The following is an 18990-nucleotide window of genomic DNA, read 5'->3' as shown; positions in this document are numbered from 1 at the left end:
CCTTCTGCTCACGAAGCCCCAGGCACATTTAGCCTCTGCTGGTTCCTAGAACATGCCAAGCTTCCTCCTGCCTCAAAGGCTTGTTGCTTGCTGGTCCCTCAGCTGGGAATCTCTCTCCCTGGCATTTCCAGTGGCCAACTCTTCTCATCGGTCAAATGGGAGATTAAATATCACCTTTCCTGAAAGGGCTTCCCCCATGCCACCCCATTCTTACTGAAGTAGAATCTGCCTCATTGTTCTCTAGAGCGATGTCTAGAACATTGCCAATTCTTTTGCAGCGCCAATTTCAATAGGAATTGTTCTGTATAGTCATTCATTCATTACTTGCTGTCCTTTGATGATGTCAACCATGTCTGCCTGACATTCTGTCACCTCCAACACCATACATCATAACAGAATAATGCAAGAAAGCAATTTCTGAGTGCTTGTCAAGGGCCCAGAACTCTCCTGTGCTCTTTACAGGCATTGCCTCTTGGGGGATATTTACCATCCCCACTTTACAAATGCGAAAACAGGGCATCAGTGACTTGCTTAAAGTCACACAGTAAGTGTCATACTTAGGATTTGAATCCCTATTGTCTGACTTCAGCATCAATGATAATATGATTACAACCCAAAGCCATACAGTATGCAATAAATACATTTCAAATAAATCAATATTTAAAGCAATAATGGCAGACCTTATAATTGCCATGATTGTATGTTGCTAGAAGACTGGAATCATGTCACGTATCCCTTTGGTGTTTTCCAGCACCCATCACAATGCTGCAATGGAACAACTGAATTGAAGTTTGCAGAAAGTGGGACTGTAGTAACAACTCGACCCATGGCAGTTGTCCTGAGTATAATGATGTTAAGCTTTTAACATGGATCAAATCCCATAGTGTGCAGCATATGGAGTATTTCAAGATTATTAGGCCAACTCCTTTCTTTACAGACTCGTTTGCTCTCAAGACCATATCCTTGCTTAGCCTGGCACACCCGGGTCTCCACGACCTGCCCTTGCCCCATCTCCAACTTTTTCCCCACTTCAGCTCCCCTAGCAGTCCTGGTGTCAATGGCCTGTTGACTTTGTTTTGTCATGAAGCTTGGGCTTTAACTTTCCCAGTGGAGAAGCTACTGAGGAGTTTTATTTCGGGATGTGGCATGGTTTGATCAGGTGAATTTAGGTGGAATACTGCAGACTAGATTGGAACTCATAGCCTGGGCCACCATCACGGGTGCACAGCACTTACAGGTATATAATAAATCACTGTGAAAGGAAGAAAACAGAGAAGGAATTGCCCTTGGAAGAAGTCAGCTGAGTGATGATGAGTAATCAGCTGAAGAACATGGTCTTTGATTTCTGGTTACAAATATAAGAGCATCCTAAATGAGGCAGATTAAAAATTAATAATTTGGAGGATGTTCTTCAGGTTGTACAATTTCTCTGTTAACCTACTTAGCACGTCACCAGGCAAAACCAGAGAAAAATAAGACGGAGCTCCCAACATCAAGGAATTCACAGGACAGAGCTGACCTAAGAAAACCCGTGGCCCAGTCAGGAGGAAAAGGAGAAGGCAAGGGAAACACAGCCCTACCCTGGTGCCGAAGAGCCCTGAGTTCCAGTCGTGCCTGGGACTCCTTCATAACCTGCCTGGGGTTTACCAGTGGAAAGCCACAAAGCCAGCTGAACCTGAACCTCAGACTCCAAACCTGTGCTCTTTACAACAGGAATAAATCAGCCTCCCTGATCCTCCCCCATCACCCACCTCATAGGACTGTGTGAGAGCCAGAAAAATCTCTAAAGAGCTATGCATCACATAAGTATTTCTGTACAAACCTCAAGGCTTAGAAATGAACTACCTGTAGCTCCCAGAGCAGAACCCTTTGGCAACGTCACATTTTCCTTCTCATGTGTTCTCAATATTTAAATCAACCCCTTGAGAGGCTCATGTAGCAAATGGGCTGTATTTAGTGGGCCCAGAGACTCTAGTGTCATCCTCTACCCTCCTTTTCCCTTTTCCTCTCTGTTGCTCTCCCTGTTTGTGCAAACCACCTAAAATGATTTCTATGCTTTACCAGAAATAGAATGTTAAACACTATTTTATTCATTACCAATAATAGCCTGTTTTTTGGTTTTGCTTTGTGTTTTTTGTGGTTTGTTTGTTTTTGCTTTTTTTTTTTTTTTTTTTTACTATGAAACCAGCATGCACTTAAAAACAGTGTGGTGGGCCTTCGTTTTCTCTCATATCAAATAATTCCTAAGGCTTCCTCTGGCTCTGACACTGTGTGCTTTTTCCTATTCTAAACATGCGTACGGAGTTCATTACCCCTGCCATGGTTTGCACTGTTTTAAGAGTCCTGCTCTAAACAGATAGCAGCATTCTCATTGACCGTGTTCAATTCTTTCACTGTTTTTCAGTTTGCACATACACTAAGGGAAGTGAGGAAGCAGGTGATAGTATGGTTCCTGCCCTTGAGATACAGGGATAATGAGATCTCTCATAGACCTGCAGATGTTCATATCATTTCAGATCCCAGAACAGGCATCCTCCCTTCACTCCACGTCACAGGGATGTATATGCTCCCAGGTACCATGGCACTGTTAAGAGGTCGCTCTGATTATAGATCTTACAGAACTCATATTTCATCCTAAAGAATGTAGAGCTTTTGTAGTTTCTAATGTCCAGGCAGAGAAAAGGATATTTAAGGACTCTGAAATAACATGGCAGGAAATTGAGATTCACTTACTGCATATAAAGTGATCGAAAAATCCCCTCTTTCACTATCTCTTTTCCTCTTGGGTCTGTGGTTCACAAACTGCAGAGCATAAATCGTGAAGCAAACCATGCTGGAATATCAATAAACCCACATCGACCCGAGGCAGGAACTCAGCTTGCAGTGTGGGGATGTTTTTTTTTTTTTAGACATTGGTTGGCAGCCAGGTTGATGAAAGGAGAAACCAAAGAGAATAACAGCTTTGCAGCAGCAAAAAAGAGAGTTAGAATTCAGGAAATGTAAGCCATGTGCCTCTCTGTAAATTCATGAGGAATGAAATCTCACTGGTGGGGTGGGGAACAGTATAAATAATAAAAACACCAACACTATCCCAGACAAAGGCTACAAACCCCAAGTCTGTGTAGTCCCCAAATGTCATGAGTTGAATTGTGTCCATCCCCACCCACCCCAACCCCTAGCAAAATCCATATGCTGAGGTCCTAAAGCTCAGCACATCAGAATGTGACCATATTTGGAAACAGAGTCTTTACAGAGGTAAACAAGCAAAAGCAAGGTCATTAGGGTGGGTCCTCATCCCATCTATGGGACTGGTGTCCTTATACAAAGGTGGAATTTGGACACAGACATGCAAAGCATGAAGTTGATGCATGCAAACAAGCCCACACTGGTGTGAGCATGGCTGGGGCCCCAGAGGAGGGTAGACGTGGACCAGGGGCAAGAGTGATAAACTAGAAACAGCTTGAGTTGCTGGAAAACCAAGTGTGCTGTAGACAAGAGCTCAGCATGAAACCGGACCCGCCAGCAGGCCCCAGATTGTGGAGAGCTTTTAGGTCCAGCTTGATTGATTTAAGACCACCTGGCTGGTGAGTAGCAGAGATAAGACTTAGGTCTTCTTTCTCCCAATCCAGTGCTAACTCTACTAAGTCATAATAATGGCTAACATGTATTAGTAGTGATAATAAGATACTGAGCACGTTAAATCATTCAATCTTTACAAGCACCCAATAAAATAGATATTATTATTACTAATTCCACTTTTCCAATAAAAACTCTGAGACTTAAATGGGAAGTTTAAGTATTGCTCAAAGACACACAGCTGGTAAGTGAGTATCAGTTTTCTTTTTCTTTTTTTTTTTTTTTTGAGACGGAAGTTTCGCTCTTTTTTGCCCAGGCTGGAGAGCAATGGTGCGATCTCGGTTCACTGCAACCTCCGCTCCCCGGGTTCAAGCGATTCTCCTGCCTCAGCCTCCTGAGTAGCTGGGACTACAGGCATGTGTCACCATGTCCAGCTAACTTTTTGTGAGTTATTAGTAGACACGGGGTTTCACCATGTTGGCCAGGCTGGTCTTGAACTCCTGATCTCAGGTGATCCACCGGCCTCGGCCTCTCAAAGTGCTGGGATTACAGATGTGACCCACCGCACCTGGCCAAGTATCAGTTTTCTTAACCATTGTCACTGTCTTATGGTTCTTCTGTGTTGTCTTCTGTGGCATGAGTATGTACAGGAAAAAAAGATCGGCTTATATAATGCATTTGAGATGGGAAAATTCAAGTACGTGTGATTGTGCAAGTTATACGGTTATATTTATTGAAAAGAGTACCCTTTTATCCATTTATTTCTCAATATGGTAAAATTTGACATGAATTTCAGGGATGCTTAATATTTGTCTTCAATGGAGACAGCAAAACAGAGCCCAGGGTGACTTTTCTCTTGCTTTGCCTGTCTATGTCTCATGATGGTGTCCTGAGGAGCATTTTGGTCAAATACGATTAATGTGCTGATGCATTTATTCCTGAGAATCTCAAATATATCTATTGTGAGACCATCTAGAAGAAGAGTCTCTTACGAAGAAAATGTGGTTTAAGAAAAGGAAAATGAACCCTCAACCCTTATCTGGACTAATAAGCAATTATTTGTCAGAAAAGTTAGGGTTGGGCAGAAGAATTACCCTTGAATGCTACCATGAGCTCTAACTCCCTGCAGTTCTACATCAGTGTTTTGACAGAATGCATGAAAATACTGTGTTGGAATATGACTTCCAAAGAATTGAGGAAAAGTAAAGTCCACCCATCTCTGCTCTTAATGCAGTGCTGAGTATGTGTGTGTTCCACCCTTGATGCTATGTTAGGAAGAGAACACGAGACAGGAGGCTGCTTTCTTGATGCAGAGCCAGGCTGAGAAAAGTAAATACCAGAATGTGTACGATGTCAGATGGGCAGAGGCCCAGCAGAGAATGGAGCAAAGGAAACTATAAGGGCAGCAACCTCAAGGCTGGGGAGTTCAGCATGCAAAGAAGATCGACCTGGCATTGGTGCTTAAGGTATGTTCACTAGTGCTGAGCTTGGAGCCAGGGGGAAAAGAGGCTGTGGTGGTCCCCTGAGAGTGTGTGGATTACGTGTCGGCCAGGGCCAGTGCTGGATCTCCACAAAGGGCAGGGCTAGAGAAAGTTGCAGAAGGCTTCAGAGGGAGCAGTGTCCTCATGGTTAAAGCACAACTGAAGTTAAGGTTCCCACATTCAAATCCAAGCTCGAGTTTGGGCAATTACACCACCTTACAGGCCTCAGCTTCCTCATCTGTAAGTTTATGATAAATCATAGTCCTGATTTGATGGGGATTTGTGAACAGCAAGTAAAATAATTTCTATAAAACACTTAGCACAGCCCCTATCCTAGAGTTAATGCATGACAGATATTAGCAATGATTATTATTATTTGAAGAGCTGACATCTGAGCTGGGCTGTGAAAGACGAGTATTTTGCTAGGTGGAAAAGGGTGGGGGAGGACATTCCAAGGAGCGAGATTAACATTGGAATCGATTTTCCAGGCCAAGAAGAAAAATACCTCCTTTGTGAAAAGTTCCTTTTTAGCCTGACTATTAGAAAAAGCAAGCGAAGAATTTCATATGGGAAATGGGATCTGAAACTCCACCTTTCATTCTGAAATCCAGGAGATATAAGTTTGCATTTTATTATTCCCAGTGGGTTGGTCTTTTTTTCTTAACCTCCATTTCCACTTCCCCTCAAAGTACTTTGCTAAAGCATTTTGCTCTCACACCAAGAAATGAATAAGTTGTTTTGGAGCATATAGGGATGTTGGTAAATGAAAACACAAAAGCTTTTTAAGTTGATCAGCCCCATCGGTCATTGGTTGGTCAAACATGTATTGGGTTTTTTCTCCATGCCAGGCACTATTCTCAGTTAGAGGATATAAAGGTACTTACATCATTATCGCTGCCTTTGAGGGGCTCTGACTAGTGAGGAAGAAGACGAGGTAACCAAACAATTATGATTTCAAAGGACAGAGGAAACAGCGAGGTTCCCAGCAAAGACAAGCATAGCATGGAGGGCCAAGGGAAATGTTACATGATAACTAAAATCAAAATTAACCTCTTAAAATTCCTCTCTGGAAAGAACGCTGGAGTTCAGCTGACTATATAAGACATAGGTTGTTCTCCAAGTCCCACCTGGTGAGTATGATGAAGTGTGCATGACTCGGCCCCGTATATAAGCTCTAGAAAGCTTCTTTCCCATTGATAACCACATTTGTTACAGGAACCTTTTCCTCCCACTGGTGTTTCACACTTTCAATTTCCTCCTTCTGAAAGAAAAAGTTTAATCAGGGTTGAATTAAATTAGAAATGTTAATGCTGGGATTATTACCTCTGCTTTCGGAAGAATTATCTTTAATAACGTATTTCATTCATCAGCCCTGAATGCAGTTTTGAACCTACCACCTCCTGATGTAGTGGAAGCAGGGTGGAGCTGGGTTTCCAGGGCAGATTGTGGCTTTCAGGCTTTATCAGGCATTGAAGGCTCGTGTCCCACATGGAAGGCAGCGTCCAGTCACTGCTCATTCAGTGTCAGCATGCAATGTACAGCTGCACAGCTGCGCGGGGATTCTTGGAACTCAATGAAGATGACTCACAGGGCTGGGGGTAGGAAGGACGGCCCCTTGGGGTGCTGGGGAAGCCCGAGGGAAGCAAGTTTAGTCAGACCTCCTGGGCTGCCTCCCTGGGAACAAGTCATCGGAGACAACATTTTTCTTTTCTTTCTTTTTTATTTTTTGAGATGGAGTTTTGCTCTTGTGGCCCAGGCTGGAGTGCAATGGCGCAATCTTGGCTCACTGCAACCTCGGCCTCCTGAGCTCAAGCCATTCTCCTGCCTCAGCCTCCCGAGTAGCTGGGATTACAGGCATGCGCCAACACACCTGGCTAATTTTTATATTTTTAGAAGAGATGGGGTTTTGCCATGTTGGTCAGGCTAGTCTCAAACTCCTGATCTCAAGTGATTCACCCACCTCGGCCTCCCAAAGCGCTGGGATTACAGGCATGAGCTACCGCGCCGAGCCGGAGACAACATTTTTCTATCCCAGTCTTGCTGGCTCTTCCAGGGAGGAAGCCGGGATGTAGCCGGTACAAGCCCTCGAGGCAGAACCAGGCAGACTTCCACCCTCCACCCCACCAGCTCTGACATTTTCTACGTGTACCTTGCCTAAATCTCTAAAGCTATAGGTTTCCCACTGTAAAACCGGTTAGCAAAACCTGCCCTGTAGAGTTGTAATGATAATAAATATAGAAACACTTCCGTGACTGCCAGAAAAACTAAAAGTAAAATCATAAATGCCTAGCCGAAGTCATTATGAGTTCCTTTCTCTCTCACTGATAGATTGTGAGCAGGACACACGCTCACGTGTTTGGATGCTCCGTGTCCTAACACAGCAGGGGTGTTAGCTGAACAAGTGATGAATAGTTGTGTTGCAGGAATGTCTATGTAGGAGGCTCAAGTGTCTCATCTATGGCCTGTGGTACACCATTTTTATTTTCACTCCCAGCACCAGAGAACCAGCACCTGAGAAAGGCAGAGAATAGAACTCAGCATTACCGACCTGGAGTCGGGAGCTCCAGATCTGCAACTCATTTCACCTCCTTGGGCCTCAACTCCCACTTTCTACAGGGGGAAGTTTGGGCTTGTGAAGATCTTAGATACCTTCCAGCTCTACGTGCTCTATGGAAGAAAGCCAGTATTTATTGAATGCCTACTATGCGCTCAAACCCGGGCAATGCTATGGGGCATTTGGCGACAATTCAGTGGACACGAAGCCTCTCGCCCATCCCTGATTCAGGTACCCAGTGCAGAATCACCCTTGGGGGCTCATCTGTACACTGTGGAACGGGATGCCGGGCTGGTGGGAAGGCAAGAGGTGTGGCTGGTAGCTGGAGATAGGCATGGCAGTGCCCTAAGTTGCACGGTGGTACCTCTAGGAGACTGTAGTATCTCCTCTCACACCACAAGTATCCAGGAGTCAGAGGGAATGTGATGTTAAATAACAAATAATAAACACCATGACAGACAGAGACAGTGGAAAAAAACAAAAAGCTTTATATTCCAGTGCCTTTACCAGCACATTTTTCCCTCGTTTTTGAACAAGGATTCCCCACATTTGCAACAAGCCCTGCAAACTAGGTAGTCATTGGGCCTGCCGAAGACTGCATAACATGAATCCAATCATGAGAAAAGATCAGACAAACCCAGCTGAAGGACCTTCAATCAAATCTCTCTCCTGCGAACTTCCAAGTCTCAAAGTGTGGGAGGTGAAGGAACGACTTCAGAACTGTTCCCAGTTGAAGAAGACAGAGCTAGACACAACAGGTATTTCCGAACTGAATCCATTTGCAATAAATCATACATTGGGAAAAATTGGCAAAACTTGAATGGTGTCTGAAGTTTAGATGATACCAATTCATTAATGCTAATTTTTTTGATGGCTAGATTGTATTTTTATAAGAGAATGCCTTGGTTTGTAGAAAACACAGTAAAATATTCCAATAGCATTGGGCATCATTATTTGGCTCTTTCAAATATTGGCAAATTATTTGACAACGTTTTAGAGAAAAATTGTTTTGTATTTTATCTGAAACTTTTCTGTAACATTGAAATTGTTTCAAAAAAAATTTTAAGAAAAAATATCAAGCCATGTTTAAAAAAAAAAAAAAAAGAAATGGCAAGCAAATTGAAACAAATGCACAGAGCAGAGAGGTTACATGGTGTGCCTAAAATTACTGTTGTCAGGGTCAGGAGCTGGGGCATCCACACGAGCCTCCTCTGTTCGAAGCCCTGGATTCTCTATCCTCTCCCGCTCTCTTGTTCAGAACACAAGGACTACGCTTCAAACTCCTGGCCTTGGCAGGCTGGCTAGAAATGGTTTGTTTCTCTGCTTACTGACCTTGTCTGACTTTCCAGACAACACTCTAGATGGTTTCTCTCTCGACTTTACAGGCTTAAATGTATCAGGTGCTTGAGAATCAAGTTTTGGCCACTGGACACCATGACCCGGTAGAGTTCTTATCATTCCATTTCTAGAAAGTGATGGAGAAGCTGTAACAGAGTCCAATATATTTGGCCAAGGGTGCTAAGCAAGAAAATAAAATGACACAAATACAATTTAAAGGGCTCTGGACTCAAGACATGTGGAAAGAGGTGGATACAGAATTACAATTGTTTAAAGTAAATAGTGGAGCAGTACAGGCCCCGATGTAGAAGCATAAAGGAATTCATAATCATGCATCAGAAGCCTTTTCAGACGAGACAGCTTTTGAGATTTTTGAAACCTGAATAGGTAACTTGATATCAATTAAAATATAGTCATATATAAAAGTTCTTAGTTGTACCAAAAGCAGAAAGATTTTGCTGTGTTGCTAGAAAAGTTTATAGTCTGCAGTTCATATATACATACGTACATTTGGCACATCATTAGCAGTGTCACTGAGACATACGACACTGTACAATGTGGCCCCTGCCTTCCATAAGCTCCTATTCTAAGGAGGGATACAGAGAATTAAGCCAATTGAACAAGAGAACAGAGTGAAGTACCCTGGGAAAGATGCATGGACAGAATGCAGATACAGAGAAGGAAACGGACGCCAACCAAGGAGATCAAGATACAGTTTCCTTCTAAACACATGGAAACACGGACAACCTGCTAACTTAGTATTTTACTGAATTACAATACACTGTCAGATAATATAATAGAAGTTGCACTCACACAGACTTGGGTTCCCGTCACAGCTCCTGTACGGTTTTAACCAAAATAGTTAACCTATTTTAGCCTCAGTTTCCTCAACTATAAACTAAGAAAAACTAGACGTACCTCCTAAGAGAGTAGATCTTAAATGTTCTTATGCACACACACACACACACACACACACACACACAGTGAGAAGTATGTGAGGTGATGGATATGTTAATCAGCTTGGTTTAATCAGTCCACAGGGTATCTATGTATTAAAACATCGCACTGAACAATATATACCATTCTGACTGGTCAATTATACCTTAATAAAGCTGGGGAAAAAATAAACTTACCTTATGAAATTAATTGAGATCATTGATGTGAAGTGCAATTCATTAGAAAATACTCAGTCAATTTTAGCATTACTTTTATTACCATTAATTATAATTTGTCTACCCATGAATTTTATTCAACATGAGAAGAAATGCTAGCTCACCAGTCACCACACAGTGTGCTGTGTCATCACGGCCACAGGAAGGGAAGGGTCATGTACGGCCTGCAGGATTCTGAGGGACATCTCAGTTGCACCCTTTCTCTGGAGCAAGATTACAGATATGATCCAAGTAATTTTGACAAGGGGTTGGACACAGCATCCAAAAAGCACCCAAAGGAATCCTTGTCTGACCAAAGTGAATCTTCACTGTCAGGCCACCTGACACAGAAAGCCTTCAATAAATTCTTACCAAGTGGATGAATGAATGAATAAATGAACAAGTGAGTGCATGCATGAGGAAGGATATGAACAACTCTTCTCCTTTCACATGAGTTTCCCAAACTGAACAAACCAGGCACTGGGAAATCTTTATGATTCTTCAGATTCAGACTCACCAGCACATACGAAGTCCTCTCGTGCCAAGCCCTGGGCTCCCATATGCTTCATCCTTGTTTACTTTCTCAACAACCCTTTGGATTAGGATGGTGTTGCGACCATTTTATGAGTTTGGAAATGGAAATCCAGGAAGGTTCCTGTCTTATCCAAGAGTTATCCTGCTGGTTTGCCAGAGTCTGAATCCAGTGATTGCATTCCTCATTTAATGACCCAGCTCTTATGAGGGCTGGGAACGTAAAGTCTTTCCACCAAAATGTGCCTCTCTTTTACTTTCAGTTTTCTCACTTAAAGCTCAACTCTCTACCAGTCACTCATTCTAGAAACCTAGGCAGCAACTGAGGCTCCATGTTTTCCCCCATTGCCTGTATTCCTAAAAATTACCAAGAAGCCCAGTTCCCCTTCCTAAAAATCTCACAGATTTCCCACCATCCTCAGTCCTTCATACTAGTCCCCTGGTGCAGCCCACTGTCTTCTATGATCTTGTCTAACTCAACAGTCTTCCGTGGGGTAGAGCCCTCCAGCCTCTGTCATCTCAAACCCATCCTTATAAACAGGCACAAGGCACAAGAGTCATTAGAGAACACGTGAATGACACCTCACCCTCCAGCTTTCCACTCTTCAGCCACTCCTCTTTTCTCATGAGAAAACCATGCCTGGCATATGAAGCCCATCAGTGTTTGAGTCTTTGCAATTTGTCCATCTTCATCCCCTACCATTGCTCTGCCCCCACCATCACTCAGAGCTTACAAAGTGCTCAGACCTTAATCCCAACACTTTAGGAGGCCAAGGCAGGAGGGTCACTTGAAGCCAGGAGTTCAAGACCAGCCTGGGCCTCACAGTGAGGCCCCATGTCTACAAAAAACTAATAATAAAAAGTTAGCCCAGCGTGGTGGTGGAAACCTGTAGTCCCAGATACTTGGGAGGCTGAGGTGGGAGGATCACTTGGGCCCCAGAGTTTGAGGCAGAAACGGGCTATGATCATCCCACTGCGTACCAGCCTGGGTGACAGAGTGAGACACTGTCTCTAAAAAAAAAAAAGGAAAAAGAATCTTTCTAACTGTCTTACATCTATTAACTCCTTCAATCTCATAACACAGCTATGATGGGGTTACTATATTAGATGTGAAATCTGTGAGAGAAGAACCAATGTGACCACGTCTTAAACAACTATTTATTCCCAATGCCCAGCATAGAGCCTGGATCATCATAGGTACATACTCAGTGAACCACTTGTTGGATGGATGGGGGATGTAGGGATGGATGGATGGATACAATAAGGGATAAAGACATCTAATGCTAATAATAAAAATAATCTAAAGTTAGCTGTTCCAGCAACACTGGGCTCAACTAATAAGAACTCCATACTCTTCCTCTCTCCCAATTTAAAATCTCTAAAATCAATCGTATTTTCAACATGCTGGTTGCAGGTACAAACATACTCTGGAAGAGAAAAATGATAAACTGATGGTGAGTGAATGTGAGATACCATTTGTTCTCTCCTTTCCCCAAACCCTTGTGAAGTCCTGCCAAGCAACCCAATGAGAAGACCAAGGTCATAAAGTCTCTCTCTGTGTCCAGTCATTTGCATTCAACTGAGACCAAGGAAACCTGACTTGCCATATAGAAATGCTGTTTCTGGAATCCTTCAGCTATTGAGCTGATTTGCATTATCCCTTCAACATGAACTGATTTTAAGTGGGAGAAAAATCAACTTCTGTTTTGCACTCTAATGGGAGGATAAAAGTTATACAACCATGAATTCCACTGATTAGAGATTCCTGCTCATTTTCTGCTGCCTGCTAGCCATTTGGTAGCATTTTAATTTAACTTTCCACTTGCATATTCTCCATTAATATTTATGAAATGATTACTAGCTTCGGCTTACTCTGTAAAAACTGGATTTGAAGCATTCGGCAAAATACATTTGCTAGTAGTTGTGAACAAATAATGCCATAACAAGCTGTTAGGAGGCTTTTATTTCTTAATGTAGCTTTTTTTTTCCCCCTGAAGCTAACATAACTAAAAAGCAGTGTGGGCCTAATCAGCAGGTAGAGATTCCAATAATTACACTAAGCATTGTATATTACAGGAATCCTTAGAACAAGTCCAATTTCTGGCTTTGAGTGGAATCTGTGGAGTCTTTAATCCCATTAGATAAAGTTTGGTTCCCACGACTTAGGTTAGCATCATAATAATAACTAGGATGTGTGACGATCATCATAGTTGGAAAAGTTCTTTTCCTCATACGTTTCTATTCTATCCTCACAGCAACCCCATGAGATGACTATTACTATCGTTTCTACTTTACAAATTTGAGGTTTTAGAGTAAGAAAGCCTAGGTAATATCGTTCATTTAATAGACACAGTCTGCATGACTGTCCTGCTCCAGGTCCTGTGCCCAGTTCTTGCATCTGGAGGGCACACATTCAAGTCCTTGCCACCTGGGAGCTCATAATCTGTGCAGAGAGGCACTCAAGTAAATAGATCATTGCCGTATAGCGAGGGACAAAAATGACCACCGTGGAGGTCTGTGCAAGGCACAGCATAAAACCAAAATGAGCTCATCAAAATGGTAACAGGAAGCCAGAAGGAGGGTATTAGAAAGTTTAGGAAGTTCTCACTCTCCCAAAGGAAAACAGAGAAGCTGAATGCTAAGCACAACTAGCAAATATAGTGCAGGGGTGTAGAGCATCGTGACCTACTCAGGGCCTGCTATGCTGCAGCAGTGAGGTGGGAGGGCTGCTTGGAGACGGAAGCCTGGACCAGATCACAGAGGGCTGTGTGCTGGATTCATGTTTTATTTTTCAGGTGAAAAAGCATTGCCAAAAAGATTTTAAGTAGGGCACTAAGGTGACAAGACATGTGGGCCAGATAAGTTGTTGAGCAACAAGGAATGACTAAATCAGAGAGTAGGTACCCAGAGGCAAGCAGACCAGGTAGAAGTTCAGGAAAGCAGTGACGAAGGCTTGACCTTGGCCACGGGGCAGCAACAGTGGGGATGTAAATCAGGCTGCAGGAAGTGGCAGAACCCTTTATTGAACCAAATGCCATGCTCTGCATACCATACCACACTATCTTTAAAGACAGGCTTTAGAAACTATCTCTATAAGCACAAAGAAACCAAGAGGGTAGCACCCAAGAATGATGAGCCCCCTCCATTGGAAATGGAAGTTGAATGTATTGCTTACTATATATGTATATACATATACATACACACACACACACACATATACACATATATACACATATATGTACACACAATAATATATACACTCTAATATATATAGTAATAAGGCAGAGTTACACATTTATATACACACACTAACATACACACATACATATATACACATATATGTACACACAATATATATACACTAATATATATGCACACTAATATATAACACACATACATATAGTAATAAGGCACAATATATATACGTACATATACACATGTATATATACACACACAATTATATATACACTAATATACACACACTATAATATATACTATATATACTTTATACATACTATATATAGTATGTGTATATTAGTATGTATGTATACTAGTGTATGTATATAGTATATATAGTAATAAGGCTGAGTTACACACTAATATGTATATACACACTAATATACACACATCTATACATATGTACACACAATAAGATATATATACACACTAATAAATATATACACACACTAATATATATAGTAATAAAGCAGAGTTACACACTAATATGTATACATTAATAAACACACACACAATATCCACACACTCTACTATCTCTCTGTATATTTATTTAGACAGTAGTAAGGCAGCATTACATTGATCAGGCTCAGTATCAACAGTATTCTGAGCCAGGCTGGCTCATGGCAAAATCAGAGAAAGTGAGCAGTTTGGCCTTCTTGCTTCCTTCCTCCCTGTCCAAATGATAGCATTTTCAGGGTTAGTGGCTTAAAATGTCATTTCTCCAAGATGTACTGTCATGAAGAATGTTTGAATACTCTGGTCCAAGAGAATGTATCTTCACAGTGGAAATCCTGGAGTTTGAAGAGATATTGGGGAGATCTGGGGCCATGCTGGGGAGCCTTGGCCGTGCATTCTCTTCTGGCTTGTGTTCATTTCCACCTCCATGGTGGAATTCGAGGGCTTCCAGGACAGGCCCCGTTTATTTTCATGAGCACAGTTTTTCCTTCTCCTAGCTTAGAAGTTCCTGTCTTTGTATTAGGGCCTCTAGAGGTTTGCAAGTAAAATATAATTCTCCTTGAGAGATAAATTCATGCAGTCATTATCCACTATTAGAAAAGAGTAATGATTAAACTGCTTTGTAAGGATTCAGTTGGTTAAAAGGAAATAGAACATTGAACTGATCCGCAGGCTTCAAAGGTGACAAAGGGGCAGAACTTATGCAAAGAAAGGAGTTACTGGTTAAGTTTTCAAGCACTGTTGAGGTGGCGCTGTTTGAAAAAAGATATGCTGTCTCATGTATGCAGAAGCATATATACACGCACATTCCCGCTCACGCACATACATGCACACACAAAGCACTGCTGGGAGGAAGGGGCTGGATGACTAACCCGTCTGTCGATGACTTTCTAACAGAGAAAGCTGTCCTATGGTGAACACATTTGTCAAACCCAAATCAAAACTCATGTTCTAAAAGAAATGGCTTTTTCCTTTTATTTTTCTTCAGCAAAATGAATATGCTAATAACATCAGAGGCTCATCATCTTCTTGCACCCGATGCCCAGAGGAACAGTGATTTCTGCCTCCCCACTCTCCCTCCTCTCACTCTCAACAGCACTCGCCTCCTAGTTAGCAGAAATGATTGCGGCTCTTTGGTATAAATGCCTGTTCTCCCCTCCTCTTCAAAATATGTCTCTACCCAACTCCATCTTCTTTTAAACATGATGAAATGGGATAACAAAAACTGCCTAAGCTCTAGTGTCTGACACATTGGAGACTGAATTCCAGCCCTGGCAATTATAAAATGTGTGACCCAGGGCAAGTTCTTTCTCATTTTTGAGGCTTGGCTCTCTCATCTGTAAAATGTCAGTAACAGCACCTCCCATGAAGCTTCAGGTACATAGTAAGTGCTCAATAAATATTCGCTTCCATTCTCTCCCTTTCTCTTTTATTTTCAAAACCTTGAAAGCTTTAATACCTTTGTCTCTAATTCCAATGTTCTTTCCAAAATGGCTGTAGCTCTTTTGTGCTGCTTTTCTCATCAATGACACTGTGCACACTTCGAGATCCAATTTCAACCTGACTACAGTTGGGCAGATGTATGCATTTATCTTTCTAATACAAGCAAATACAACGTCATTACATATGCAATTTCAGATTAAAATACAGCATTTCACAAGAGGCAAAAATTCATTTTATTTAGTTGTGCGTGTGTTTTAAAATCTCTATGTTTCTACACTTCTGTAGTTTCTCTGAAATCAATAAGGCAAAACCTATTATTTTCAATGCTCATTTTGGAGCTTATGAAAGAGAAATGAGTATATTAATGTTGTGATTTAAAATATTCACAGTGAGGAAGGAAGTTCAGATCATTTTTCATTTATGCATTGTGGAGTAGTGTGCCTGAAGTGGTAATATATTTATGAGCTGCTTTGAGAATGAACGCAAATTATTAACTGGGCAGCACGCAAGAGAATTGATTAACGGAAGAGCTGTTTTCTATGTCTCCAGTGCCACCCATCACCTTGCAAACACTGAACAAAATACTTTTGCCTTAGAGGTAATTTAACTAACAATGAGACTAAACTAGCAGAAGATACTTTGCATGTTACTAATTAGAAAATGCACTCGTTCCTGTCCTCGCCCCTCCTTCTCTCCCAAGCTAACATGTCTTTATTATTCAGATATCTAGTTCTCTTCTCCTTCAAGAATCTTCACTGATCCTCACAGCTGGGTTAAATGCTGCTGCTGTCTCAGCTATGGGGCTCTGGGCTGGCTGTCCCCACCCCGATTGCTGCATTGCATCCCAGCTCTCTATTTCTTCATTTGCCGCCCTGGTTGGTAATTGTGAGCTCCATGAGTGTGGGAACTATTCATTTTATCCCAGAATCCACAGCACCTAGCTCGCTGCCTGGTCGATGTGGACATTCACCAAACTTTGTTAAGCAAATGAATAAATGGACGAGTCAATGAATGAATCAAAGAATGAGTGGAAGGGCCCCTTTAATAAAGCATTGCAGTGCTAGGTACACAGTAGTCATTTATAGAACTGGTGGCATTGAACAGAGAGCTAACTAGGAGGCGATGCTCGACTACAGAGAGCTTAGAAATTCTATTGAGATTATGTTGAGTACTATATGCCTGTCATGTTTGTATTGGCAGCTACAAGAATGTACTTCTTGCCTTAATTTTTTTTTTTTTTTTTTTTTTTTTTGTGAGACCGAGTCTCACTCTATCACCAGGCTGGAGTGCCGTGGTGCAATCTCGGCTCACTGCAACCTTCACCTCCTGGGTTCAAGCAATTTTCCTGCCTCAGCCTCCCAAGTAGCTGGGACTATGCACCACCATGCCCAGCTAATTTTTATATTTTTAGTAGAGATGGGGTTTCACCATGTTGGCGAGGATGGTCTTGATCTCCTGACCTCGTGATCCACCTGCCTCAGCCTCCCAAAGTGCTGGGATTACAGGCATGAGCCACTGCGCCCAGTCAAAATATTTTGTATTTTAAAGTAAGACTGCAATAGGATTCAACCATTACGGTAATAATGGTAAAAATAATACCATATTGTAATCATCCTGTACATTTGTTCCAATAAAGCTTTATATTTATGCATTATTTTAAAATAGGTCATCTTGTGTAATTTCCCCCATTTTCTGAGAAGAAACAGAGCTCTGAGAGATTACGGAACTTTCCCTGGGTAATAGGCCTGTGGCCTCCCAGGGTCTGTAAGAAACCAGTGTCTATACTGGCCTAATACCCCTTGGAAGCTGTCTATGCTGTTTGTGATTATTACCAGACTGATTCTGTGGTAAGATCGACATGTTTTTCTGAAAGCTGATGATAATTAAAGAGTAAATTTGTCAAAAATAAATTGACCAAAATGACAAGTGTTCTCAGTCAAAACTTTCTTCACATAATGTTAATTTTTGAACACAATGATCCAGTATTCAAGCTTTGTATGAATCTTTTTAAGCATTGGCATCTGTGCCTCAGAATTTATTTTTACTTTTAAAACAATTGTGCGTATCTTTTATGTTGCTATAGGATTTGTTTTTCATACTTTTTCTTTTCTAATTCTAATTTACCTTCAACTTCAATTATGCTAGCTTCCACTTTTCTAAAAATGTTGTGACATATCTAATTTTCATGTAAAAGAAAAAAATTTCAAAAATAAAAGCTGAGAATCACAACTTCCAATCATGATGATTTCTTGGCAACTCTACATTGATTTTTTTAATCTATGTTAGTTTGTCCATTTTCTAAGTTCTTTTACTAAAATGTGTTTTAATTTTACATTCATTTCAGATAGCTATTCCTATTTTACTTCTTTTGATTTTGTTTTCACCATGTTAGACTCTGAATTTATTTTATTTTAAATTACTCTTATGTAATGTAAGCATAATTTTTGCCACCTCATGGCATTATATTGCCATCATTTGATAGAAATTCTGAAGTCTGAATTAAAGCCCTCGTAAAAGTTATGTTCCATGCAGATTTAAGACAAACCATAGGCTTAGAAAAATAAACCAAAATGAATGTTCCCAATGAAAGCATGTAAAGATTCACAAATAATTGAAAAGAACATGAGAAACATAATGAGAGCTCGAAGATAGGCAAAAGTATACACAATTACTCAATGGTGTGCCAAGTTACCAATGCATAAAAATATTTGGTTTTGTTCAATTTGTTCTTTAAAGTCATAGTGTAGGGTTTATTGGTTAAACATATGAATTCATAACCTAATGAATGCGTATTCATGATGCTGTGATTTTAGTGACAGATTATTAGGTAACTCCTTAATTATGCTGATAGGCTTCATTTATTTGTTCATTTTTGACAAGGAGGAGTTTTCACCCTAAAAGACATGTCAATTACCCTGGTCAAGAAATGAGACTGGCCTTAGGATCAAAAGATGGAAGAACTTCCTCATTCACTGCCAAGACAAAAAGATGTTGGGAAAGGGCTCTGTGCAAAAGGGCTGGAAGCCCTCCTGACTCAGCCACACTTGCACTGTGTGTGGCCACCAGTGCCATGTGATCATTTGTGAGCATGTAAACCGGAAGAGCTGTGGAGCTATAGAGGTGAGATGGAGATGTCAGATGGGAGCAACCATTACTAAAGCAAGTTCCCGGGACGCAGAGATACTGTCTTCTCCCCCTGCACCTTCTGCTAAACCATTGAGGG

General features: G+C 41.4%; 2 long non-coding RNA genes across 3 annotated transcripts in view, besides 1 other annotated feature; one reads left to right on the top strand and one right to left on the bottom strand.

Moving 5' to 3' along the window:
* The window catches only part of MIR3681HG (MIR3681 host gene), a 571233-nt gene that overhangs the window by 465213 nt on the left and 87030 nt on the right, over window positions 1-18990 (bottom strand). Inside the window, exon 3 of one of the 2 annotated variants that reach the window (NR_110197.1) lies at window positions 6185-6318. The exons of the other annotated variant lie outside the window; for it this stretch is intronic. This is a non-coding gene — a long non-coding RNA (MIR3681 host gene). The remainder of the gene's footprint in view (window positions 1-6184; window positions 6319-18990) is intronic. 2 annotated transcript variants of the gene reach the window in all.
* LOC105373433 (uncharacterized) lies at window positions 3430-8580 on the top strand. Its single transcript, XR_922808.2, has 4 exons — window positions 3430-3584; window positions 4811-5042; window positions 7552-7842; window positions 8149-8580. It is a non-coding gene; the product is annotated as an uncharacterized LOC105373433 (long non-coding RNA).
* Window positions 16172-16775: an enhancer, noted in NCBI's record as "OCT4-NANOG hESC enhancer chr2:12236487-12237090 (GRCh37/hg19 assembly coordinates)". NCBI's record gives its function as "activates a minimal SCP1, AML or CMV promoter by ChIP-STARR-seq in naive H9 embryonic stem cells {active_cell/tissue: H9 hESC(naive)}" and the evidence as "EXISTENCE:reporter gene assay evidence [ECO:0000049][PMID:30033119]".

This window comes from Homo sapiens, chromosome 2 (assembly GCF_000001405.40).
Source record: "Homo sapiens chromosome 2, GRCh38.p14 Primary Assembly".
NCBI lineage: Eukaryota > Metazoa > Chordata > Mammalia > Primates > Hominidae > Homo > Homo sapiens.
The sequence above is the reverse complement of the archived record's forward strand: the minus strand, read 5'-3'. Positions and strand labels throughout refer to the sequence as shown.